This window comes from Homo sapiens, chromosome 1, assembly GCF_000001405.40.
Source record: "Homo sapiens chromosome 1, GRCh38.p14 Primary Assembly".
Lineage (NCBI taxonomy): Eukaryota > Metazoa > Chordata > Mammalia > Primates > Hominidae > Homo > Homo sapiens.
In genome coordinates this window covers 64929761-64957053 of record NC_000001.11, presented here as the reverse complement: position 1 = coordinate 64957053, position 27293 = coordinate 64929761, and the positions used below count along the sequence as shown (strand labels likewise).

Here is a 27293-nt window from a genome sequence, read left to right as displayed (position 1 = left end):
TTGCTGTCACATTTTAACACCTTTTTTCTGCCCTAGTTATCTAAAACAGTTCATGCTGCTGAAAACCTCCTTCCTGGCAGATGTCCCTCAACCCTACTGGTGCCTGGCTTCTGAGACACAGTAAGGACTTCCTTTCTCTGTATGTCTCTGTTCTCTTTTTGAGTATCGTCTCTTTCTCTCACTTCTCCTCCTCCCCCAATGAGGATGTTTCTAAAGGTTCTGTGAATGGTAGATTTATATGTTGCGAAAACTGTGCAGATGACCCACTTTTGCCTGAGCTCCAGTTGTCCCTTTTTATTTATTTTCCTTCCTCTCTGCTCCTTACCTCCCCCAAATACTGGTTGCACAGTTTCAGACACTATTCAAGGCACTGGGGACACTGGGGAACAAGAGAGGAAAGGTCCCTGTCCTTAAGTAGCCAACAGTCTAAGATGTTAAACACATTGATAAACAAGATAATTTCAGGTGGTGATAAGTGCAATAGAGAAAGTTAGCAAGGTATGGGTAGTGAATGCTTAGGTTGGGGGGTTGGGAGAAGGGCTCCTGGTCTGAGAAAGTGACATTTAAATTCAGCCCTGAAGGATGAGTAATGAGTAGAAGCCAGGCAGTGCAATGATCTGTAAGAAAAATGTACTAGGCAGAGGGGATAGCCAGTGCCACGCCCCTTCAGTGGGATGAGCTTTCCATTTCACACTGGGCTGCCTTGCTGTGTGTCCTTTGACACCTCCCATTTAACTGCTCCAAGATTGATACCGTCTTTCTTTCTGACCCATCATCATAATAATGGATGATTTCTCTGTTTTGGTTAATACCGTCTCTATCCACCACCCTGAAAACCCTAGGCCAGCAGTCTGAAAACTTTGTGAGGGGAAAGACAGTAAACATTTTCAGCTTTGAGCACAGTACAGTCTGTCACAAGTACTGAATCTGCTATTGTAGCACCAATGTAGATATAGACAGTATGTAAACCAATGAGTGTGGCTGTGCTCCAATACAACTTTATGTATGGACACTGACATTTCTATTTTCACTTGTAACAAAATATTTTTCTTTTTTTTCCAACCATTTAAAAATGCGTCAGCTTATTGGCGTTCAAAATGGGCAGCGGCAGGCCAGATTTGGCTCACAGGCCAGGATCTGCTGCCCCCTGCCTTAGACTAACCCTGATCTCTCCCTTTGCTTTTGCCCCACCCCACCTCCTCCCTAGGCCCTTTCAGGGCTCCCTCCCTGGTATTCGTATTCAGCACCTTTGCCACTCGCTGTCCCCACTGCTGCAGCCTTCCTTTGGCTTTCTTTACCTGGGTGATCTATCATTGCGCACTCTATGTCCATGTGCAGACATTATTTAGCTCCCACTTTAAGTGAGCACATGCTGTATTTATCTTTCCGTGTCTGACTACTGATCACAAGCCTTTAGAAGCCCCTATTGCCTATAGAAAACAATCCAAACTCCACCTTAGTCTGATAGTAAAGGTTCCTTATGCTAAAACCTCAGTTTAACTTTCTAGCATACTCTCCTATTTCTCTCCTTCTACACTGTCCCAAAATAGATTATTCATTATTTTGCTTTCAATGTTTCCCATGCTTTTCTGTGTTCTTGTTCATTTAATGCACTTTTCCCGTGCTTCATGCTTTCCATCTGTCAGAATTCCATAGCTTTCAAGGCCCCTTCAAATGTCCCTGGTCTCTTCCTCTGCCCCTCCCTACCCCAACAAGCGGTGTGTATACACATAGTCCCCTGGTGGTGTGTGATCCTCTGTTCCAGTACGTCGTGTTCTGGTCTGTGCTTCTGTTCTTTTGCAGACACACCTCCACTATGCAGTCACGAGGCCCTTGAGGACAGGAACCATCTCTTTCTTCGTAATGTCACCTTTCCCAGTAGGCACACGGCTGTTTATTGAATAAACACAGATCCTGTGTACACTTGCTCAAATTGTACAAAATTTGCAGGAGATTCAAAGTGGAAACATTTTACTGAAGGGAATTCGGTCAAATTACATCCTTGATTCTTGTATAGGTGGTACAGTTTTGTAAAGGATCATCAAGTATTTTGGAAGACTCATTGGCTCTGCCAGTGGCTTAGATAAATAAATTCGGGCAAGTTATTGATCTCTCTCCTCAGAGAAAAAAATTGATGTGTTTTCTTTTATATAAAGAGAAAAAGAAAAAGAAAAAATGTGATCTGTAACTCATTATGTTTCCTTGCTAGAAAGCTCAAAGATACGTTATTTGCCTGTTTTTAGTTGCTATCCAGTTTTCTTACAATAATCTCTCTGCCTCAGTCTCCTCATCGGATTACTTGTCACATGTGTTAAATCCTTCTTTTAATTGATGGTTCTGTTGTATATATCTTTTATATTTATATAGGTAGCCTCAACTCTCCTTTTTTTGGAGAGTGGTAATAGAAATATAAATAATAAATAGTTGCCCTTTGGTTTCCCCAACCTGTGGTGACAACAAGATAATAAAACAGATACTTATCCTATATAAAACAGGCAAAAAGGCTTTGGGACAATATGGGAATCATGATGTGGGTTTGGTGGAAAACGAGCAAAGCACCTTGTAAGGATCTTGTAGTCTGAAGATTAAGGTGTGCTTGGGGTAGGTCATGTCCTCCCAGCTCTGTGGGATTTGTAGCACATCATCCCACGTGGGGAGGAGAGTGGGCACGGGCATGAGACTATTTATTAGCTTTTACTGTGTCAGTTGTTGGGTTATGTATTTTGCATTTGATATTTAATTTAATCTTTGTAATAGCCAGAGACTTGGATCTTATTGGCATCATTTTCCAGATGAGCAGAGCTAATAAATGGCAGAACTAGAATTCAAATCTGAGGCTCTCTGGCATTGAAAACAACAACAAAACATGTTTCTACTCTTCAAAGAGACTTTTTCTCCTGGATTGTCACTTGTCCTTTTCTTTCTCTTTCTCTCCTGACATTGGTATTTAAAATGAGAACCTAGGAAACTTGTTTCTTCTAACCTAATGTTTTTGAAGCAGTTTTAGGTCCTTGGAGATGTGCCTTGATGTGTCTATACAATATAGTATTTGGTATTGTTAGATATAAAGAAGACCTGAGGCCGAGTGCGGTCGCTCATGCCTATAATCCCAGCACATTGGGAGGCCAAGGCAGGCAGATCACTTGAGGTCAGGAGTTCAAGACCAGCCTGGCCAACACAGTGAAACCCCATCTCTTCTAAAAATACGAAAAAAAGAAAAAAAGAAATTAGCTGGGCGTGGCAGCACGCACCTGTAATCCCAGCTACTCAGGAGGCTGAGGCGGGAGAATTGCATGAACCTGGGAGGCAGAGGTTGCAGTGAGCTGAGATGATGCCACTTCACTCTGGCCTGGGGGACAGAGCAAGACTCTGTCTCAAAAAAATAAAAAAAAATTTTTTGTTTTTTAGGTTTTGGGGCAGGGCAGTTGGGTTCATTTAGCTGTCCTAAAGTAAGTTTGGTATATTTTTGTGAAATATTTAGTTTAAAAGTTGTATTGCTGTTTTTGACATTTTAAGTCAGACGAGATTTACTGTTGCTTTATATTACCTGACTGTTATATAACACGTCCTGTGTTTACCTGTGTGGGTCTGAGCGTACCAGATGTGGTGTTATGAAAAGCGTGCTGGACTTGGAACCAGGACGAGCCGATGTGAGGCTGTCCTCTGCCACTTACTAGCTCTGTGACTTTGGGCTCATAATTGAGCCTTATTTTTTTCTCAATTGTAAATGGACTGTGTAGACCTGTCACAGAGGAAGTTTTGTGAAGCTTAAATGAGGTAGAACCTACAAAATAGCTTCAGACAGTGCCTGGGATCCAGCAGCATTTAACGAAAGTTACCCACTGCTACCCCAAATACTGAATATTGCCAGAAAATCTGTAAATGATTACATAATGTTTACACCTTTATAAGTGGTAACTTTGTAGGTAAATATTATTCAAGTTATGAACCTCTGATTTAGGAAACCTCCTTATGCAAATGGTTGGCTTCCCACTACAGAAACATCAGTAATAAGATAGTGGTTTAGACTCCCAAATCTGCGACCAGTCTGTATGTTTGAATCCTGGCTTATGATCAGTCATAGCTGAGTGATCGTGGGCAAGTTATTCAACCGCTTTGTGCCTCAGTTTCCTCATCTGTAAAAGGATAATAGGATAATAATGGCTCCTACCTTATGGGATTGTGAAAATTAAATGAGAATGTGTGTTTATGTATGTGTGTGTTTGTCTGTATTTGTACCAATACCCTATTGGAGTTTACCACTATTATTTACTGTTCCTCTTCTCTTTTCCTCCCTGTGTAAACAGCCCCATAAGTTATCTGGAAGTTCCCTAGTATCTCTTTCTTATCTTCTGTTACTGGAAGACTCCTTTTTCTTCTGTCTTTGGTCCCGTGTTAGTTGCTTCATTTTAATTGAGGCTATCTTGTTCTAGTGTGCAATACATTCTCATTGATCCCTTCCCTATACATTTCTTGCCTAGACACTTTGAAAAAGTGTTTTTGTTTTGGGTGGAAACTGAACATTTTCTAATAATGACTCATAAACCCAGCCAGGTGTTAAGGATACTCCTATATCAAGGAAAATGAAAGCTATACAGTCTCAAGCAAATGAAAAAACTATATAAAATGCCTAATTGTTTATTGAATGTTTATGCCAGAAATTCAGATCAATAAACTGAGCCTTAGAATGGTTGATGTTTAAAGGTACCCGGCTTTTAAGTGGAGGAACCTAGATTTGATCAAAGCCAGACCAACCTGGCCCTTGGTTTCACAATCCCTAAGCTCACTTGCCTTAATAAGGCCTCTAGGCACCACCTCAAGACTCCATCTGCACCCCTTATGAACCTACACTCTGCTTTCCCTCACACTCCTGCTTTTGAGATGGCAAAATCACTTATGGTTCTTTTTGGCTGCAGTAATGTTTCCTGCTATTTTGGCAGGGCAAATGTATAGCGTTTCAGATACTTTATGTGTTAAATTGGCCTTTTGTGTGTTGGCTTGGAAACTTAACCACATTTACTGCAGTGTGTCTGGGGGAAATGTGCGCCAAGTTTCAAACAACCAACTGGGAATGAATTCTTTAAAAGGCAGAACTTGTGCCTGGCGCGGTGGCTCACGCCTGTAATCCCAGCACTTTGGGAGGCCGAGGCGGGCGGATCACGAGGTCAGGATTCGAGACCATCCTAGCTAACACGGTGAAACCCTGTCTCTACTAAAAATACAAAAAATTAGCTGGGCGTGGTGGCGGGCGCCTGTAGTCCCAGCTACTCGGGAGGCTGAGGCAGGAGAATGGCGTGAACCCGGGAGGTGGAGCTTGCAGTGAGCAGAGATCGAGCCACTGCACTCCAGCCTGGGCGACAGAGCGAGACTCCGTCTCAAAAAAAAAAAAAAAAAAAAAAAAAAAGGCAGAACTTGTTTATAGCTAAGGGCTGCTGGTGTATTTATTTGAGTGTGTTACCTGCATTGGTATGCTTTAAGGGCTTCTGTGTCATGCCTGAAGCGACATATTCTGGAATGTATACATTATTGCACTTCCTTGGTTAATTGTCCTCACTGTTGCTGACCTTTGTACACTGAACCACTGCCATTGTGTTTGGCACGTAGTAGGAACCCTGTGAAGAGACTTATTTAGTCCTCTTTAAAGATCAATGGTTCTTTATACTTTTCTGTATGCTTGATATATTTCAATTTAAAAAAATCAGTGGAGTAAGGAAGGATCAGGCAACATTGAAAGAGGAATATTGCCACACAGTTGCCAATCTGATGAAAATACTGCTTATGCTAGGTCGAATTGAGACTCTGAAAGGTATTTGGGAGCCAGACACTTATGAGAATACATATTGCTTTGAATATTGGAAGAAAGCAAAGCAGTCAAACGAATTTCTTCTTGGCTTGGAGTTTTGTTTACTTTTCTCAGGTTAGAATTGATAGTTCTAATGGTTTTAAGAAGTCATGGAGAACAGGCCCACCATGAACCTGAATATTTGGTTCTGAGTTTATAGCCATTGTCTAGTAAATACTGTTTAAGGGTTATTAGCACACAATGATCATAAAATCTTGTAATACTTTTAAGAGGTGTAAGAAATTGAAGTCACCTGAGAATACCTCCTTCTGATTTTACAGTGGAGAAATAAAGGAATCAGAGTGTTTAAGTGACTTGCCTAAGACCTGTCTGGGCCACCACTTTAGGGATTGTTTTTTAATCCATCATCATGCTGGATTTGTTACTGAGCGATAAAATGGTACAGAAGGTAGTCACATAGAGAATTTAGGAAATAAAATACTCATTTGTTCAAATACTTCTCAGGAGGTTGAGATATATCTATGGGTAGAAGATTTAGAGGTTATTTAAGAGAAATTAGGATTGTCTAGGGTCCACCCCTTACCGTGGGGATTCTGAAGGGCAGTGTCTTATGAGAGAAGAGAGATCAAGTTACTTGGTGAGTGAGATGTTCTAGGTGCTCAGTCCAAGGGCTGGCCGGATGGCTAGCACTGAACTTGTGTGGATGTTTGTTCAAACTAATCAGCCTACGATTGGTTTGTTCCTAAGAATGATAAAACTTTGTTCTAGTTTTTTAAATTGTAATAATAATTCTGTAAGCATTTAAGAAGAATGCTTTCTTTAATGTTGACTTTTTTTTTTTTTTGAGACAGAGTCTTGCTCTGTCTCCCGGGCTGGAGTGCAGTGGCATGATCTCGGCTCACTGCAACCTCTGCCTCCGGGTTGAAGTGATTCTGCTGCCTCAGCCTCCAGAGTAGCTGGGACTACAGGCGCCCGCCACCACGCCAGGCTAATTTTTGTATCTTTAGTAGAGACGGGGTTTCACCATGTTGGCCAGGATGGTCTCGATCTCCTGACCTTGTGATCCGCCCGCCTTGGCCCGCCAAAGTGCTGGGATTGCAGGTGTAAGCCACTGCGCCCGGCCTAATGTTGACATTTTTTACTCCTACACGAAGCTGTTATGTTTTTACTTATTCTTTTCTAGTCTTTATCGATAATGTATAAATATGTACTGTATTATGTAATTTTAATTGCTGGATACATATACCTGTCTTCTTAAACTTTTTTATTCTATTTTAATAGAGTCTTTGTAATAATCATTTTTGAATGTAGTATTTAGTTGTGTTAATTTATTTTATTTTTCTTAAGTAATCTATGATAGAATAAGCTATTTCTGTTTTTACAGAATATTGTAGGGAACCTTTAAAAACACACAATTAGCATTTTTCTGCTGCTAATTGCTTTATTAGGATGAATGCATAGATTTACTGTGTCAAAGGTTATAACCAATTTTATGACCTTTAGTATGTAATTCTGGAAAATTAAACAGAAACTTAAGTCACAAATGGCCTTAAACATTGGCAGGAAGCTGCTGATTTCCTGACTGTTGTACAGGCAACCCACTGGCAAGTAACATGTCAAATACGGACCATTATAATTCCTTATCATAAAGGCAGATACAGTTTTCTTCAAAGGACATGAAAATAATTTATTTGCTTTTGATGCCTTTTCTCACTGGGAAATGATATTCTGTAAGTGCACAATGTGCACTTGAATGTGAAGTTGTAGTGAGGATTTTTATTTTTATTTTTGTACAACTGGGTTATAATAAAGGAAACAAACTTTATGTCACTTCTAGGCTGATGAAATACCCTAGTAAATGCAGTACATTTTTGCATGACTAATAGGAGTAGGGGCGGGGCTTTGACTTTTACATCAGTCAGGTTAAAATCACCTGTTTGCTGGTTTCCCTAAGACAGTGATGTATTGCCCTTTGCTTAACTTTTTGTTAGTTGGGAAATGTATTCTACTTTGATGACTGGTGTTTTTCTGCTTAGTGGGGATATTTTCTGTGAAGCCAGGATAAACAATTCTATAATGCAAATCTGAACACATCACTGCCTTGCTTAAAATCTTTCACTAGCTGCCCTTTGCTGTTAGGATTAAGTCTATCCAAACTCCTTAGCATGGTATGAAGAGCCTCTCATGGTCACAGCCTTCCTTTCCTTCCATTCCCTTTCTTGCAGTCAGCACTCCAGCCCTTCTGACCGTTTTTGTTTCTTAAATATATTGTGATCTCTCTTACTTCTAGGACAGTAAGTTCTGTAGATTCCTTGGTGAATATACAGCCTTAGAGACTGCAAGAATTCTGAGCAGTATTTCTAAGGGTTAGATTTCCCTCCAAGTACCATTAACATTCTGGGCTGCCACATTTCAAGATTTACTCTGGAGATGTGAGGTGGAAGCCATGTTAAATGGCTGGAAGATAGTCCTGTGGGAGAGATAAGCTTTATCATTTTATTTTTACCAGGTGTGTTGCAGTGAGTGTTGAAAAGCCTTCCACAAAAAATAGAGTCTTCTTTTTTCCCCTGTTATGATTAAATTACTGGCTGCTAATCTTTCATGATGAAGAGAGAAGCCCAAAAGCAATTTCAGAACATGGATCTCATGCTGATTAGTGGTTATAATGATTTCACATGGATAGTATTCCTTGTGTTTGAAAGTTATTTTATTGGTGAGATCTGCGAAATCAACAAGGCTAGTTTATCTTTGCAAAAACTTGTGACAAGCTTATAGCTACACTCCTTGGGGAACACAGTTCACATTTAAGATTTTGCCTCAGGCACCTCTGTTCAGCTTTATGCTGTGTCTTTCAGATTCTAGATATGAAACTGGTTTGACATTAATACCTAGCATGATAGCTTTTTAGATACACTCTTTGCTTGCATTAAGTCAGACAAAATCTGCAGAGCCTAGCACTATGCTCAGTATATGAGCTGCTTTGTCTGTGTATCTTGGTTCATACGAGAGTCAGTATACCTAGGCAGTCAGTAAACAGTCATTGATTAGATTTGGATTTAATAAATTTAAGCCTGGCCAATAATTAGTGGGAACCAAACCAAGGCAACCTATAGTAAATGGAGCATTGCATCGAAGATCTCAGTTCTTCAAATAAGGCACAGATAAAGGATCTCTATGTATTACCCTCCTGTTCTTGGATTTAATTGTTCAAATGTTTCACCCAAAACCTCAATTTCAGGCTAATATTTAGGCATTCTCTTCTATGTTATACCTCAGGTAATTTGGAAACATTTGTATTTCTAAATCTATTTCTGTATAAACTTTCTATGAATTGTATATCTCTCCCTCTCTATATTATATAGTATAGATTTAAATTGAAAAATTCATTGTTCCCTTCAGAGGTATAAGAGTATTCTGGCCCAGCTGGAAATGTTATGTTAAATTTGAAATTCTACTACCTAAATTTTGGACTTGTGTACTACTGTTTTAGTAGAGCTATATGATACTGCAGATAAAGTTCCAAAACAATCTGTGGTGAAAAAATTCTTGTTCAGGGACCTGTTGTTCAGTGAAACTGCTTTTCTGTTGGGTACCTGTATTCTTTTTTGGTTAAGTTAAAAAAAAAAAAGGATTTATTGGCCTATGTCTTAAGGGGGTTGGGGGAGGACCCATGGTTCATGGACTCCAAGGATATAAAGGCATTCCCCTTCTCAGTAAGAATCCTGCTATTCTGCTTCCTGTTCATTGGTCTTATGTTCTGCCACAATGAGGTTTTATCCACATGATTTGAATAGAGAACAGTTGGCTGCTCCAAGATGATGTCTGTTTATCAAATCTCCCTGAAAGACTTGTGTTTGTGTCACCCTTGGTCTGGAAGGTGGACAGTGCAGGCATGGATGGGGGTCAGGTGGGACACTGTGATCTGTAGTGTTAACAGAATCACCTGGTATGAGAAGTTTCTAGAGAGATAAAAACAGATGTCAGCTGTAATATATTGAACTGGCAGTTAAAAAATTTTTTTTAAGTTGTGGAAAATAAACAACATAAAATTTACCATGTGAGCCATTTTTAAGCTTACAGTTCAGTAGTGTTAAGTACATTCACGTTGTTTTACATCTAATCTCCAGAACTCTTTTCATCTTGCAAAACTGAAACTCTGTACCCAGTAGATAATAACTACCCATTGCTTTTTCCTGCTAGCTCCTGCCAACTACCATTCTACTTTTTCTATCTATGGATTTGACTACTCTGGCTACTTCTTATAAGTGGAATTGTCCATAATGTCCTTTTTCACTAGCATGTTTCACTTAGCATAATGTCCTCAAGGTTTATCCATGTTTTTGCATATGATGGAATTTCCTTCCTTTTAAAGGCTGAATAATATTCCATTGTATGTATATACAACATTTTGTTTATCCATCTATGTTGTTGGATGCTTGGGTGGCTTCTACCTTTTGACTGTTGTGAATGATATTTCTATGAACATGGGTTTGCAAATATCTCGTTGAGACCCTGCTTTCAGTTGTTTTGTGAACTGCCACTTTTTTGGATAACTCTCATTTGAAACTATGTTCATCTTTTTTTCCTTAAAAACTGCCCGTAATTAACTCTTTTTGGTGCCCAGTAAGTGGAAAATTCAGAACAGCAAAATGTTTGCTTTATTCAACAAACACCTTCTCAAAATCTAGAAAACAAAGAACATTAGAGAACACTGTGGAAGTAAGTATGATTGTGGGTAGCTGGCTGACGTAGAAGATTTTAATTTTTACTATGATGCATAAATATGTACCTTTGCAAGTTTTAGCAGACAAGAGCATGAGGTCCGATCATAGACCTATGACTTTGGGGAAGTTACCTAAAGCCTTGCCAGCCACCATTTACTTATTTGCAGAGAGGGGGTTGGTTATACCTGCTAGGGTTAATTAGACTATTAAATGAGATAACATGTGCAGAACACATAGCCAGTGGTAGGTGGTCAGTAAGTGGTTTCCTCTCTCCTGTATTCTTCCAGGGGAATAGAAGACGACCACTGTGTGAGGATCTCTGTATTGTTCAGCTCTGATGCTCCTCCTACTGTGGGTGGTAGATCTCCCTCTTAACAAGGCTTTCTTGGCAAGCATTTTTAAACTTTACATTTTCTTATTTTTTTATTATTGTTATTGATATTTTGTTTGGCATAGGTACTGTATTGACATGGTTCAGAAAGCAAACCAGGGCCGGGTGCCGTGGCTCATGCCTGTAATCCCAGCACACTGGAAGGCCGAGGTGGGTGGATCACTTGAGGTCAGGAGTTAAAGACCAGCTGGCCAACATGGTGAAACCTTATCCCTACTAAAAATACAAAAATTAGCTGGGCGTGGTGGCAGGCGCCTGTACTCAGGAGTATCCCAGCTACTCAGGAGGCTGAGGCCAGAGGATGGCTTGAACCCTGGAGGTGGAGGTTGTAGTGAGCTGAGATCACACCACTGCACTCCAGCCTGGGCGACAGAGCAAGACTCTGTGTCAAAGAAAAAAAAAAAGAAAGCAAACCAGTATAACAGGGTACAAATTGAGAAGGTTTGCTCCCATTTTTGTTTGTCCGTCAACTTCGTTCCCTGTTTCCTTAAGTGCTCTTCTCATCTCTAGGACCTATTAATGTAAGTATATATTCGTATTCTTTTTTTTATTGTACATAAGGTAAATATATACTATATACTATTCCACCCTTTGCTTTTTTCATTTTACCATATATCCTCCTCTCTTTCCTTATTAGTACATCAAGTATTTTCTCGTGTGAATAGACCATGACTTATTTAACCAGTCCCCATGTAAGGGACATTTTGTTTGCTTCTGCACTTTTGCTGTTATAAATAGTGCTATTTGTGTAACTTTGTATGTAGAAGGTCAGATAAATTCCCAGAAGTGGAATTGCTGGGTTAAAAGATAATTGCATTAATAATTTTTATTAATATTCTCAATTGCTCCCCATGGGGTTAGTACCTTTTTCCATGCCTTGAAATTTACATATTTTTGTGCATTGCAGACACCTCTCACCCCTTGCTGTATACCTTCTTTTGAACTGCCATCTTGTTAACATGGAGAGAACTGGCAAGTGCAGGCGATTCCTTCTTGTGTTTCGTAAGGGCTAGTGGACTGTTGGAGTGCTTTCCAAGCAGGTGCCAGGGTTTGAGATTGTAGTGTGATATGCGACTAGGGGTTCTGCCCATCCCGATGTGCTCCTGTTCCCGTCTCAGGACCTGAGGATGGAATGGCTGAGTGTGTTGTGAGCCCAAGGTGCCAAGTGCTTCTCGGGGGAGAATCAGTTGCTCTGTGCATTAAAGCAGTATTGGCTGCTGCCTCCCTTCCTTGGAAGTTTTTGTTCTGTTTTTTTAATTTCATAACTTTTTACAAAAGTTATTCCTATTTATTGAAGACTTAGAATCCAGAGAAAAGACAAAAATCACTTGGACTCTCACAACCTTTGTTAATATTTTCACGAATATCCTCTCAATCGTGTGTGTATCCCCAACATAAATGGTGGTTATATACTGCATAATGTTTCATAACCTTTTTTTCCATTTGCTAGTGTATCATGACTATTGTAACATCTTTCAGTAGTGATATACCCCTGCCCCCAACACATGCACATGTTTTGTGTAGATTTCTATTGGGTGGCTTCACCGTGATTCTGTGTTCCTGGATGAACATTTATGTTTGTCTTGTTAGTCAACAACCCTACGATGAAAATCCTTCTGGCTAAATCTTGTATGTTATTATTGTTTGCTTAGAATACATTTCTAGAATTAGCAAACAATAATAACATACAGGAATTAGAACTTCTAGGTCAAAAGACATGTACACATTGCTCTCCAAAAGTGACATATTATTTATATTCCTAAATGAGAGTACCACTGTCATCATACTCAATTTGTGGATATAATAATTTTTTAAAAATTTCCAATTTATTAGTAAAAAGTGATAAATCTATCTTTTACTCTGTAGATATTTAATTACTGGTACATTTAAACTTTTTTTTTTTTTTTTTTTTTTGAGACAGAGTCTTGCACTGTTGCCCAGGCTGGAGTGCAATGGTGCGATCTCGGCTCACTGCAAGCTCCGCCTCCTGGGTTCATGCCATTCTCCTGCCTCAGCCTCCCAAGTAGCTGGGACTACAGGCACCTGCCACCACACCCGGCTAATTTTTTGTACTTTTAGTAGAGACGGGATTTCACTGTGTTAGCCAGCATGGTCTTGATCTCCTGACCTCGTGATCCGCCTACCTCGGCCTCCCAAAGTGCTGGGATTACAGGCGTGAGCCACTGCGCCTGGCCTAAACTTTTTTTTTTCAAGTTTGAGAACTCATTTTTTTGATGTGGATTGCCTAGTCAAGCCCTTTGCTCATTTTATTACTGGCGTGTTTGTCTTTTTTTTTTTTATTTATTAAAGCTACATATGTTAAGGATATTAGTTTTCTGTCACATATGGTACAAATATTTTTCCTCAAGTTTACTTATATATTAAGAACCTTTTGTTATAGAAGTTTTATATTTTCATGAACTCACATCAATCACTCATTTCTTTATAAAGGCTTCTGCTTTTGGTGTCATGTTTGAGAGACCTTTTGATGCCTCTAATTCTACAAATATTTAACTCTTAGACTTAATATTTGGTATATTTGTCATTTGAAATGATAGGATGTTTATTTTAGTCTATGATGTAAGAGGGATTCTAATTTTATTATTTTCTCTGACTATCCAGTTGTCCTACCACAAAAAATCATCATCTCCCCACTAACTTGAAATCCATGTTTTTACAAATTGCTTTTTTGTTTTTTAACACATTCGAAAATTTACACTAAAACTCTATAAAAAGGGCATTAGAGTCACAAGGTCCTATCCCTGGACTGTTTTCAGGCAGTTGATGCCAGTGAGACATTGAAGAGGTGGTCTAACCTCTTCTTAGACTTGGTTTCTTCTGGGGATTCACACCTGACCACCAATCAGGGTGTTATGGTCATCTGATGAGGTAATAGGTATCAATTCTGAACCATTATATGGGAAGTAATCTTTATAGTGCTACTAATTAGGAGAGCCCAGGTATTCCTGAGGAACTATAACCATAGTCAAAATTTGATATAATAAAGTTTAGTTATTGTCTTTTGGAAGAATTAGGAAAACTAAAGAAATAACTTCTCTGACTTTTGAGTTATTTCCCATTAGCCAAATAGGGCCTAATTGTAAATAATAAAAATGGGCCTGTTTTAATTATTTATCTTGACATGGATTAAATATAGTATTTAATTTCCTTAATGATTAAATATAGACAGCAAATGTAATGCTGTACTTTTCACATGACGCAATTCATTTGGCCTTTTTCTTTTTTTAAAAAAATTAAGACAGTTACTTTATTTAGAACAGGAAAGTGGTGTAAGCAACTGAGAGTGTGCCCTGTAATATGAGAGGTTCTTCCCTCGTTCTACTTCCCACCTTAAAATATAATTTTAGGAGAAAAAAGTATCTTATATTTGGTTAATTATGTTATCTACGATTACACCTTTTGCTAAGGCAGGCATGGCATTTGCTGATGTTTGGCTTGAAGTCTAAGAATATTGTCCAGATAGAACATGCTAAATTGTTACATTTGAGTTAATGTTGAATACTTGAACTAACATAGGGATGCCAGACCACTACTCTTGATTTAATTAGAGATTTGTACACATTTTCAGTTTTTTCCATGTAAGATCAGTTTTATTGTTCCTTTAAAAATATTCTGATGAAATAATCTTGCAAAGGAAAGATAACCTAGCATCAAGTCTGCGATATAAAAACAAAAATAAAATGATTTTCTGATCAGTTATCATGTTTATTACCTTTACAAATAGTGTATTAGTCCTTTAGAGAGCCCCACTATGCTGCCTGTGCCAAAAGTGTCATGTATTGTCCTTGAGTATCAAAGTGGTTCATACCGGTTATCTAGCAAAGGGCCAGATTGTCTCTGCATAGTACTTTTCATCCAGAGTGAAATGATGATAAATTCCCACACGAAGTATATGTATATCTTTTTCTCCCTGGCAATTCAGATCCATGTGTCCTCTATATCTTTTATGTCAAAATACCTACTTCCATCCAAGATATATCGAATTTCATCATTCAAATGTAAATGTTTCTCATAAGACATCATCTTTTCCTCTAATTTGGTAATTTATCTTTGCATATTGTTATTATGTTCATCCAGGAGTAGTTTCTCTCTCTTTGGATTTTTATATAATTCTGGATCGTTCTTGTATTTGTCAGGAACAACCAAGCTGACACAGTCGCTCCAGGCCGACTGGGCTCCAGTCGGTAGGGCTTTCTCTAGGGCTTTCTCTGGGGATCTGTAGTGTAAACCACACCTGCCTAATCTTCCCTGCTTCTCCTAGAGAACACTGGAAAGTCCCAGGGGACACTGGCCTGACCTCAGGCTTTTCCTTTGGTCTTTAGATTCAGACATTTCCACTAAACTTAGAGAGTCAAGTACCTGGATTCATGTTGAAAATCTGATAGTAGTTGACTTTGAGACCCAGGTTTAGTCATGTCATGTGCTGAGCTTTGGTTTCTTCATTTTCAAAATGTAGGCCGTTTGTGGGAGTTTGAATGTAACATCACAGCTCTGAGGTTCCCTTTCCATCCCCAGTTTCTCTGATAGAGCAGAGGACTCTGAAAGGAGGCCAGTTTTTTTATTCTAACCATGGGAAATTTGAAATAATTGTTGACTTCTTTTGCTTATTTTTTTTGGTCCCTAAAATATTTGATTGGTCAAGATAAATCATCTTTGTTTTATTTTTCATTTCTGATAATTATCAGAATAATAACTGGATAAGTCCCAGTGAAAGCCCCAACTGAAAGAATTTGTAGTCATGTTGTCACATTTTATATTTAAAAGTGTTTCTCTAGAGTTAAGGAATGAATTTTTTTTTTCCCAGATGTGGATGCAAGTTACAATAAATTCTTGGCCCTTTTGAACCATTAGGGATTAATCATTTTGGGTTAACCATTTTCTAGATGGTGAGAATTTATTCTTATAATAACCACAAAACTTCAACTACTTTATTTTATTTTTATTATTATTATTTTTGAGTTGGAGTCCATAGCCCAGGCTGGAGTGCAGTGGCACGATCTTTGGCTCACTGCAACCCCTGCCTTGCATGTTCAGGTGATTCTCCTGCCTCAGCCTTCCAAGTAGCTGGGATTACAGGTATGCGCCACCACGCCTGGCTAATTTTGTATTTTTAGTAGAGACAGGGTTTTGCCATGTTGCTCAGGTGTGTCTTGAACTCCTGACCTCAGGTTGTCCACCCATCTCAGCCTCCCAAAATGCTGAGATTACAAGCGTGAGTGACTGACTGCGCCTGGCCAAAACTTTAACTACTTTAATGAAAAAATCCGAAAATATATTTTTTCTGTTCTTGAACTGAAGCGACTGAATACAGTTTATTTTCTCTTTATTAATCATGTTCAGCTACAAATGTAATTTGTGTTGAGCACTGTGTTTATGGAGCATAGCATAAATTGGAGTAGAAAGACCTGGGTTTAAATTTCACCACCTACTGACTCTTGCCTACGAACAGTAAACCCGTCTTAACCTCATTTTCTTCATTTTTTAAGAAATTGAAATTGAGCCAGGTGCAGTGGCTTATGCCTGTAACCCCAGCAGTTTGGGAGGCCGAGGTGGGCAGATCACTTGAGCCCCAGAATTGGAGACCAGCCTGGCCAACATGGTGAAACTCCATCTCTACTAAAAATACAAAAATTAGCCAGGTGTGGTGGCACACACCTGTAATCCCAGCTAATCGGGAGGCTGAGGCAAAAGAATCGGTTGAACCTGAGAGGCAGAGGTTGCAGTGAGTGGAGATTGTGCCACTGCACTCCAGCCTGGGCAACAGAGTGAGACTATCTCAAAAAAAAAAAAAAAAGAAATTGAAATTGGTATAAGCTAGGTCTTCTGTAAATGATGACTCTTACAATAGGGATTCCCTGCAGGTCTGTTGAGTTATGTGTATTTGCATGCACATGTACACACACGGTGTATTTGTTCCATAGTAACTAGCTTTGGACTTCCTGTTGTGCCTTCTATTGTTTTTCTGTCAACTTACCGGTTTTCTCTCCTTGAAGCTATCAGTATGCCTGTGTGTAGTGCCTGCTCTCATAGGATTTATAGGTTTGTTGACATCTAGTTACTTGTATTTTATACACAGCTCTAAGTGAGAAGGCTTGGCAATATGTAATGTTCGTGAATATTTGTATGAAATTCAGCAGCATTTACTTTGGGGAACTCATATTTTATGTGTGCTTCAAAACAATGAAACTTAGCACTATTACAACACAGGAGTATATTTGCATCCTGGTCTTTATTTATAAAGAAATAGTATTGAGCCACCCAGTTGGGGGATACACAGTCTAAGTAGTTATTCTCTTATTTTGTTTCTGGTTCCCACTTTTATTGACTTATATAGCACACATACAGTAGTGGCATAATACCAGCTGGATTTCAGAGTGCAGAATGAAACCATGTGGTTTTCTGTGAGATTTTTTAGGCCTTATATAGGAATTATATGCATGACTAGGACCTTATAAATTATGTATCTACTATGTGCCCAGCTCCTAGTATATACCTAATTTAATCCTTGAACAACTCTTTTGTGTTACATGGTATTATCCCTGTTTAAAGATGAAGAAACCAATATTTGGATAAATTAAATACCTTATTTTATAAATGAGTAAGTCTTTTCTGACTTCAGAGTTCATGCATTTTACCAGTAAGCCATGCTTTCCGCTTACTGCAAACTAGTGACTCCAAACTTCTGCAAACTGTGAAACTATTGTGAACTTGTGTGAATGTATGGAAGTTGGCACTGATTAGACGTTTGAACTTCTTTCCTTGTCCTGTGTTATGCATGGTAATCTGCCATTTGCTGTTCCTAGCTGTATGGTCACCCTTAGAGGTATGAGTTGTGCTTATATGTATATGTTCATGCCTAGATCTGTTGCTCACAGAATCATCTGACATCCCCATTTCGTTGAATCTAGGCAGCAGGGTTGATGGCAGCCAGAAAAGTGTGCCCTGGGGGCAAGAATGTCTTTAGGGAAAAATATGTTATTGTCTTTCAGATAGTAGTTCTCCAAACAGTTGCTCCAACAGTTCCTATGAAAAGATTGCTTGAGCCCAGGAGTTCAAGGCAGCAGTGAGCCATGGTCATGCCATTGCACTCCAGCCTGGACAACAAAGTGAGACCCTGTCTCAAGAGAAAAGAAAAGAAAAAAATGCTAGGTGGATCTTCAGTTTAGTTCAGTTAATTAAGTATTTTAATTATTAACTATTAATTATAACATTAAGAATGCCAGGGGAGGATAGAGACCCGTGATTCTGTTTTGGGGGGCACTAGAAAACAGTTCCTGAGACACTGGTGCTGCCATCTACCTCTACCCACATCATATCCTTATGTAGACATAAAATATTAAGAGAGACTTCATGAGGAGGCATTTCTCAGTTTCTTTTGTAATGAACTCTACTTTTAGTTGAGAAACATGAAAGTGTATGGTTTGGTGTTGGAGAACGAGTTTACTTACTAGTTTGATTTACAGTGAATACTGTTCTTGGGATTTATAAATGGTTTTAGTATTGAGAAGTAGAGGAGATAAATAGTTCTGGTGTCAAGGGAAGCGGAGCAATAAAATGAAGCTGAAACATGACCATTAAGCCCAAGCCAATCAGATCATCTGTGTGCCTTAATAGAAGGCTGATGATCTTGGTTCAGGTCTTCACTTAGTTCATGTAATAACATGGAATCAAGAGTTCAGACAAGTATAAATGCTTCTGGGTCTTGTTTCCTAACTAGGCTTAGTTTATAGGCCAGAAAGATTCTGCTACTATCCTGTTATTACTGGGGCAGTCATTGAAAAGAGCCTTTCTATTATAGTGGACTGAAGACATAAAATCACACAGTACATCTAAAAGGTTTCATCAAAGTTGTTCTTTACGAAAGAGTATTTTTTTATATCTTTGTATAATTGAACTTTTTTTTAAAAAAAACTTTTTTTTTTCAGCCATGAAATTACATTCTTTCTTAGCCTTAAAGACTTTGACATTCTCCTTTGGGAGGCCGAGGTGGGCAGATCACGAGGTCAGGAGATCGAGACCATCCTGGCTAACACAGTGAAACCCCGTCTCTACTGAAAAATACAAAAAATTAGCTGGGTGTGGTGGCGGGCACCTGTAGTCATAGCTACTTGGGAGGCTGAGGCAGGAGAATGGCATGAACCCGGGAGGCAGATGTTGCACTGAGCCGAGATCGCGCCACTGCACTCCAGCCTGGGCGACAGAGTGAGACTCCCTCTCAAAAAAAAAAGAAGATTTTGACATTCTCTGTTCAAGAAACTTTTACAGTGAGAGTAATTTAGTGTATCTCAGACAATGTTGGAGTGATCGATGGTTGGGTTTCCTTGTTCCAAGGTAGAATATCAAATGTTCAGTTGACTTGTTGATGGATCAGTTTGACCTCGCTTTAAGGATATGTCTGAAAAACTGAAATAATGAGGTCAACATTTTCCAGGTTTTTTTTTGTCATTCTATGATCGACTAAGTCTGCTTTGGTTTTCAGTTACTAATCAGTGTTCCACTAATGCCTATTTAGAAACTTTATTTTGAAATAATTATAGATTGACAAGAAGTTGTAACAGAGGGCCTGTGTTGTATAATTGAAGTTTAACAGTGATACGCTCCTTTCTTTCTAGAAAGGCTTTCAATTTATGGAAAAATTAGCAAAGGTAAAAGATGCTCGGCGTTGGACCTTTGAAACTTCTTTCGGAATTAGTATTTTGAATGACTCCATACAACTAGAATAATGGCTGAAATTTCTATGGTGCTGGTCAGGACTGTGACTGTGGCCCGAGCATGAGATGATTTTCCTGGAAACCAAAAGTACTACTAGAAGGAGAAGAATGCTGTGGAGCTCTCTGGGGGTTGGAGCTTATGCCTCTGGAGACTTTGAGTTTTCTGTGGGTGTAAGTTTTGCAAATGGTCCTGGTAGCCCTGAAGCTAGAGTTGTCAAAGTAACAGGTGGTAGCTGGGAGCCAGCTTGGCAGTGGATCAGCTACCCAAATAGCCAAAGTTGCTCAATCTACATGAGGTCCTGTAGACCAAACTGGGGGTGGGGAGGATTAGCCCCATACAAATAGTTGATCCTTTTTTTTTTTTTTTTAAACAGTCATTTGAAATATTTTCTGTAAAAGGCCTAAGCTTTAGGCATTTAGGATGATTGTAAATGCACTGCTTTGTATTCTTTTTCACATATATTTGATTTATTAATATAAAATTGCCATTTTTGTACATAAAAATGGTCAAATATTGGCAGTTTCATATGGTACAACCTACTGTTTTCTGCTGTCACATTGGAAATTCTCACCAACGTGGGATACCATGTTTCAAAGAAACGTTGGCTTAGCCTCTTCATTTATGGAAGAAATATAGCACTTATGGTGTTCTAAGTAGATTAACTAACTTAATCTTTTTACAAGCAAATGAGGTAGGTAGGTCCTAGTGTTTTCCTGCTTTTTAGGATCACAGAGCTAGTAAGTGGTGGAGCTGGGCTTACACCCTGGCTACTGGTCACAGGGCTGTGCTGTTTCTCAGCTCTTGTGTTTGGCCTCACCTCTCCAGTCATACTTGTGAAAGTCCTGGGTGTCTAGACAGGTGATGGGTGAGTGACATAAGGTACCTCTCTTTGTCTTCATGGGAGAAATAACTGGATTTCCCCAAGAATGAATTAATTCTTCCACAATACAAGAGTCTTAGAGGTTTAACAAGGATACTTCTTTCAAGGTGCCCACCAATTCCTACCTTGCATTGGAGGGTGCACTGTGTCAAATTTGTATTTTTATCTTAAATACCAAATACTCTTAGAGTCCATCCATGGGCCTGTGGAGTTGAGGGTAAATGTAGAGGCTTATTTGGCCTAATAATGAAAGTATGGATAGTTATTGCCATGGAGGAGGAGGGTGAATGTTTTGTAGAGTCCATTCCAACCTTGAAATCCTGATTCTCTGATAAACTTCCACCTCTCCTCTGTTGCTTAATCTTTGATCTTGAGCCTGGAAGGAGAGGAGGCAACTCAGTCAATGAAGGAGTTTTATTTAGTAATTGCACATTGGCCTCTTCCTGCCGGATCCCATATTGACACTGGAGTAAGGCTAGAGGCTGGGAGACAAGGCCCCATGGGAGCTTTGTGAAATGGGGAGGGGCAAGGGTGTGTCCCTGGACCGTCTGTTTGTGGGGCAGCTGTCCTAGGTGTTGAGACACACACCGGTCTGTTCTAAGATGTTCCTACTGGATCCTGTCAGTTCGCCCTCCAGCATTCCTGGATTTATTGTGCACCATTTATGGCTCCACAGTCCACTAGATGAAATTGTAAAGACTCAATATGGTGGCTCTCCAGGGACTTTCCCTTTTCTTCTCCCTTAGCATCAGAGATGACCCGTCAGCGTTGCAAGCAGTTCTGTGGTAGCACATCAAGTATTCTGTCACAGCAGGAAAGGCTGGATAAACATCAAGGGACTGCCAAGACCAGACTTCTCATTCAGTCTGAGTAGGAGGAAAGAGGACAGGTTGTTGGAGAGTTGGTTTAAAGATGAATTATGGGCTGGGTGCGGTGGCTCACGCCTGTAATCTCAGCACTTTGGGAGGCCGAGGCAGGCAGATCACGAGGTCAGGAGAGTTCGAGACCAGCCTGACCAACATGGCGAAACCCCATCTCTACTAAAAAATACAAAAATTAGCTGGGCGTGGTGGCACACGCCTGTAATCCCAGCTACTCAGGAGGCTGAGGCAGGAGAATCGCTTGAACCCGGGAGGCGGAGGTTGCAGTGAGCCCTGATCACGCCATTGCACTCTAGCCTGGGCAACAAGAGTGAAACTCTGTCTCAAACAAACAAAAAAAAGAGTTATGACTGGTCTTTCTCATTTCATCTGCTGATGGGTAGAGGAGGGAAAGGGTCAGAAATATTTCTTTTAATACCCTCTCAGTATGAATGAATGATTTTGACCTAGTTTAGGTTTTGGTCTGGTGGATGTGAGATTGGAATATAATTTGTTTGGCAGGGTCATCCCCAAGGATGTCTGATGCATCTGCGTTCTTGTTCCCATGGCTAGAATGGAATCAAGGGAGAAGCTTCCTCATTCCTATTTCAGAGGGAGCAGGGAGAGTAGTGGTGCATATCCCCACAGCCAGAAATAGATTGGTCCTCAAGTAAATTGGTTTGATAAGTTGATTATGAATCTTCCTGAAAACTGCTGTGGCCTTAGGAACTCTGGAGGGTCCTACTAGTGGACCCTCATCATTCATCTGATGAGCACTTACTATGTTCTAGGCACTGACTGTGAGAAATACAAATGAGTAAAATATAATCATAGCCCCCAGGATAGTCTGGTGGGTGACATTTACAATACAATGTAAGCTAAGGTTGTAATTAATGTGTTTAACAAAGTACTGTGGCAGCACAGAGAAGAGAGTGACTACGTTTGGAGTCCACAGGACTTCACCGGAAAGATGAGGCATCTGACCTGGACTTTGAGAGGATGAACCAGAACTCTGTAGGTCCAGTAGATGGAAGGTTTTCAAAGAATGCAGGCAGACAGAGCCTTGGGAACAGTCAAGGTTGAGGGGGCACTCTTGTGGGTCCACAACCCGAGCTTCTCGCCCCTCTCATTTCGTAATGGCTGCCAAGCTCTTCCTTCACTGTTGTTTTTCTTTACTGCTCTGTGGATTCATCCTGATGAGTCACGACAACCTCTGCTTGCAGTGATGCCACGTCTCCCAGTTAGGAAACGACCCTGCTCTTCACTGCCTGGTTCCTTGGTGTGGCTGCCTCCAGCCTTCAGTCTCCCCTTCTCAGAGCTGTGACAAGAGGTTCTTACAGCCTTAAAAATAAAAAGCAGCTTCATATGTTTTGCCTTTGTGTTATTTATTGCATCATTTGTTGAGCAAGTTTCCCAGGACTGGAGCCGGAGGTCATTTGAGAGATGTCTCCTGGGATTCCACTGAAACTCTTTTCCACTGATCCCAATTGGTGACCAGGAACAGGAGTTGCTTTTGGTCCTTTACATCTCTCCATGTTTTCCAGCTTCCTAAGATACCCTGTCCCCTCCTGCATTTTGGTCAGCACTTATCTTTCCTTCTGCTTTGTGCTTCTAGTGGTTCTGGGTCACTTTCTGTCAGCTCCCAAATTCCAGAGGTGGACCTGGGTTAGGCCATTGGCTGTATGTCTTTTAGTGTGTATTGCTTGAGAATGCTCATATTTATGTAGTATATTCCGTAGTGCCTGAAAATTCTAAGGACCACAGCGATTTTGAATGATTCAAAGTTAGTCACTTCAGTATGAAACAGTGTGAATTTAAAGGCAAACCCAGGATTCTTTGAAAGCAAAAACTTTCTTTAGAGCAGCGGCGTGCTTGGTGAGGCAAATAGATTGCATTTTGTGGTGCCAGAAATAGACAGTTCCCTTTTTATACGCTACATCTTTGTCATGTAGTCAGAGACATGCAGATCCTTTGAAGTGAATTCTGGCACCACAATTTTGTAGAGACAGTCAGTGTAGTACAGCATGAGAAGGGCATACGATGTGTCATTTGAATAACTTCTGTTGAAGAGCAGGCGTCAGCCCATGGCAGAGATTGCTGAGGGGATGGTGCAGACGAGAGGCAGGTAGTATTGGGGCATTGTGAAAACATGCGTGAAAGGCCTTTTGGAATCCTGCTTTTTGGCAGTGTTGTGCAAGTCCCTCAGAAATTTTGTCACTTCCCTTGGAAACATGTACAACAGGGATACGTCACTTAGGCAGAGACTACTCAAGGGCTGAAAAATGCTACACTCATGAATAGTTTCGCTGAGCTGGAGATTGGTCACATCTGATGTCTGGATGGTGGCCATTGTTGTTAAAAATAGCTTAGAAGTTCAAAACGGGGGTAGGAGCCTTGTGTTCTTTTTTCTTCCCTGGAAAGGGAAGTGTTTTTGAGCTGTGGAACTTCGAGTAAAACCTAACTTCTTTGTACCTTGTTTTGCTCATCTGTAAATGGGGATAACAGTGGTACCCACCTTATGGGATGTTCAGGATTCAATGAATATAAAACATTTGGCATGATGCCTGGCACGTATAGCTACCACTGGTGTAGTGTTTAATTATATTTATTATTTTTTCTCATTGTTACTGTTCTTTTCTATTTGAGATTTCTCGGAGGTTCTGTACTTGTTTTAAAAGTATAATTCTTTCCATGGCTTTACTTCCCGTTAGCAGTGGCTTAATTCTAACTGGGAGAAAAAACCTTTGATTTGTGGTAATTTTCTTAATTCCCTTGTCTTACCTTTGGGATGGTGGAGTTGGGAGGGCAGTGCAGAGTCAGATGTCAGTGGGGAACAGAGATTGTGGGCAGTCCCAGGCAGAGGCAGGTGCCAGCTGGGACTGTCTAGTGCCCTCTCAATTATTTGATGGTGGAATGGATGATTATTGCAGTTTGTCAATAAAAAAAAACAAACCATAGCGTTAGTGTTAGGAGTAGCTGAGTGAAAGTATATGGGAATTCTGTGTACTATCTTTGCAGGTCTTGAGTAAATCTAAAATTATTTCAAAATGAAAATTAAAGCCCCAGCAACAAAGCAGGATGTAGCACCATGCTGACACTAGTAAATGCTTAATAAACGTTTGTTGGATGCAAGAGTGAGTGAGTGAGTTAGGTTTGAACCCAACCTCGACACTTATTAGCTAGATTACCTTTGGTTAATTACTGCTTTTATGAATCTCAGATTTCTTATTTATTTATTTAATTATTTTTTTGAGACAGAGTCTCGCTCTGTCGCCAGGCTGTAGTACAGTGGCGCGATCTCGGCTCACTGCAACATCCGACTCCCTGGTTCAAGCGATTCTCCTGCCTCAGCCTCCCAAGTAGCTGGGATTACAGGCATGTGCCACCACACCCAGCTAATTTTTGTAATTTTAGTAGAGACAGGGTTTCGCCATGTTGGCCAGGCTGGTCTCAATCTCCTGAACTCGTGATCCCCCCACCTCGGCCCCCCAACGTTCTGGGATTACAGGCGTGAGCAACCACACCTGGCCCAGATTTCTTATTTATAAAGTGCCATGATGTCTACCTCACAGTGTTGGTATGAGCGTTAAATGAGATGTAAAGAACCTGATCAGAGGATCCAGTTATATGGTAAGTAGTCTAAAGTGTAGGTATTATTATTGTTAAAGATATTGTGGGCACTTTGTTGATTGAATATCCCCCCCCCTCCTTTTTTAGAGCCAAAATCCATTTAAAAAATACATTTAGGTTTCTTGCAGTTTTTTGCTGTTATGAACAACACTTCCATTAATAGGATTAATAGCTGTATAGCTAGATCTCTGTGTGTGTACATTATGTATTCTTAGGATACATTTCTGAGAGTCACATGGGTTCCTATTTTTTGGCTCTTTTTATTCCCTTACCAGAGTGCCTCCCGATAGTTTGTAATTTTGTAACAATTTACCATTAAAGAACAGAGTTTTGATAGGCAGAGATGGGAGAGTAGGAGAGAGGGAGTAGCCTGTACACAAAAGGATTGCCTCCTTTACCCCAAAGGTTGAGGCCTCTGAATGCTGGTCTGAGCTCCTAGGGATGATGCCCCTGGAGCGTAGTAATTGCCTAGGATACAACCACTCAGCCTTGTGCCACCATGGTAGGACACCCACCATGCTGGGTGTCCTACTGCCATGGTTGGGGAGGGCTGAATGTTTTCACCCTGTTGCTGGGGGAGGTGGGGACTTGGATGAGTGACACCCGGCGTGGACAGCTACCACCTGCCCATGGTAGATGAAACCTTACTTTCGATGGGAATGGCCCTCCCTTCTTATGGGAGTTGTAGTCTGCATGGAGTGCGGTTGAACAAGGATGAGCAGGTAATCCAGGTGTACTTAGAATTTGCTTCCTCTGAATATTAGAACGTGAAGAGGACTTTGAGGGAATCCAGCATGGTGGTTTTGACTCTTTGAAAATCAAGGAACCCTATTTCATATCAAGTCCGATGTGGAATCTCAGTGTACTAAAGAGTTTATTTTTTTTATTATACATTAAGTTCTGGGATACATGTGCAGAACGTGCAGGTTTGTTACATAGGTATACACGTGCCATGGTGGTTTGCTGCACCCATCAACCTGTCATCTACATTAGGTATTTCTCCTAATGCCATCCCACCCCTAGTCCCCCACCCCCTGACTGGCCCTGGTGTGTGATGTTCCCCTCCCTGCATCCATGTGTTCTCATTGTTCAACTCCCACTTATGAGTGAGAACATGTGGTGTTTGGTTTTTGGTTCCTGTGTTAGTTTGCTGAGAATGATGATTTCCAGCTTCATCCATGTCCCTGCAAAAGACATGAACTCATCCTTTTTTATGGCTGCATAGTATTCCATGGTGTATATGTGCCACATTTTCTATATCCAGTCTATCATTGATGGGCATTTGGGTTGGATCCAAGTATTTGCTATGGTGAACAGTGCTGCAATAAACATATATGTGCATGTGTCTTTATAGTAGAATGATTTATAATCATTTGGGTATATACCCAGTAATGGGATTGCTGGGTCAAATGGTATTTCTAGTTCTAGATCCTTGAGGAATTGCCACACTGTCTTCCACAATGGTTGAACTAATTTATACTCCCACCAACAGCATAAAGTGTTCCTATTTCTCACATCCTTTCCAGCATCTGTTGTTTCCTGACTTTTTAATGATCGCCATTCTGACTGGCATGAGATGGTATCTCATCGTGGTTTTGATTTGCGTTTCTCTAATGAACAGTGATGATGAGCTTTTTTCCCCTATGTTTGTTGGCCACATAAATGTCTTCTTTTGAGAAATGTCTGTTCATTTCCTTTGCCCGCTGTTTGATGGGGTTGTTTTTTCCTTATAAATTTGTTTAAGTTTTTTGTAGATTCTGGATATTAGCCCTTTGTCAGATGGATAGATTGCAAAATTTTTCTCCCATTCTGTAGATTGCCTCTTCACTCTGATGATAGTTTCTTTTGCCGTGCAGAAGCTCTTTAGTTTAATTAGATCCCATTTGTCAATTTTGGCTTTTGTTGCCATTGCTTTTGGTGTTATAATCATGAAGTCTTTGCCCATGCCTGTGTCCTGATTATGGTTTTAGGTCTTAACGTTTAAGTCTTTAATCCGTCTTGAGTTAATTTTTGTATAAGGTGTAAGGAAGGTGTCCAGTTTCAGTTTTCTGCATATGGCTAGCCAGTTTTCCCAACACCATTTATTAAATAGGGAATCCTTTCCCCATTGCTTGTTTAGGTCAGATTCGTCAAAGATCAGATGGTTGTAGATGTGTGGTGTTATTTCTGAGGCCTTTGTTCTGTTCCACTTGTCTATATGTCTGTTTTGGTAATAGTACCATGCCGTTTTGGTTACTGTAGCCTTGTAGTATAGTTTGAAGTCAGGTAGTGT

At 40.1% G+C, this 27293-nt stretch overlaps 1 protein-coding gene across 11 annotated transcripts in view, besides 3 other annotated features; it reads left to right on the top strand.

Moving 5' to 3' along the window:
- JAK1 (Janus kinase 1) overlaps positions 1 to 27293 on the top strand; it is a 234518-nt gene that overhangs the window by 110693 nt on the left and 96532 nt on the right. For 4 of the 11 annotated variants that reach the window (NM_001321853.2, NM_001320923.2, NM_001321855.2 and 1 more), the window contains one exon: positions 37 to 120. The exons of 6 other annotated variants lie outside the window; for them this stretch is intronic. The gene's annotated coding sequence lies outside the window, so the exon portion shown is untranslated. Of the gene's footprint in view, positions 1 to 36; positions 11440 to 27293 lie in introns of those variants that run through there. One more of the 11 variants, XM_047419675.1, reaches the window with a different exon arrangement.
- Positions 237 to 286: an enhancer, noted in NCBI's record as "active region_1135". NCBI's record gives its function as "activates an Ori minimal core promoter by ATAC-STARR-seq in GM12878 lymphoblastoid cells {active_cell/tissue: GM12878}" and the evidence as "EXISTENCE:reporter gene assay evidence [ECO:0000049][PMID:35858748]".
- Positions 22454 to 22748: an enhancer, noted in NCBI's record as "tiled region #2453; HepG2 Activating DNase matched - State 5:Enh, and K562 Activating DNase unmatched - State 5:Enh". NCBI's record gives its function as "activates a minimal TATA promoter and a strong SV40 promoter by Sharpr-MPRA in HepG2 and K562 cells {active_cell/tissue: HepG2 | K562}" and the evidence as "EXISTENCE:reporter gene assay evidence [ECO:0000049][PMID:27701403]".
- Positions 23215 to 23264: a silencer, noted in NCBI's record as "silent region_958". NCBI's record gives its function as "represses an Ori minimal core promoter by ATAC-STARR-seq in GM12878 lymphoblastoid cells {active_cell/tissue: GM12878}" and the evidence as "EXISTENCE:reporter gene assay evidence [ECO:0000049][PMID:35858748]".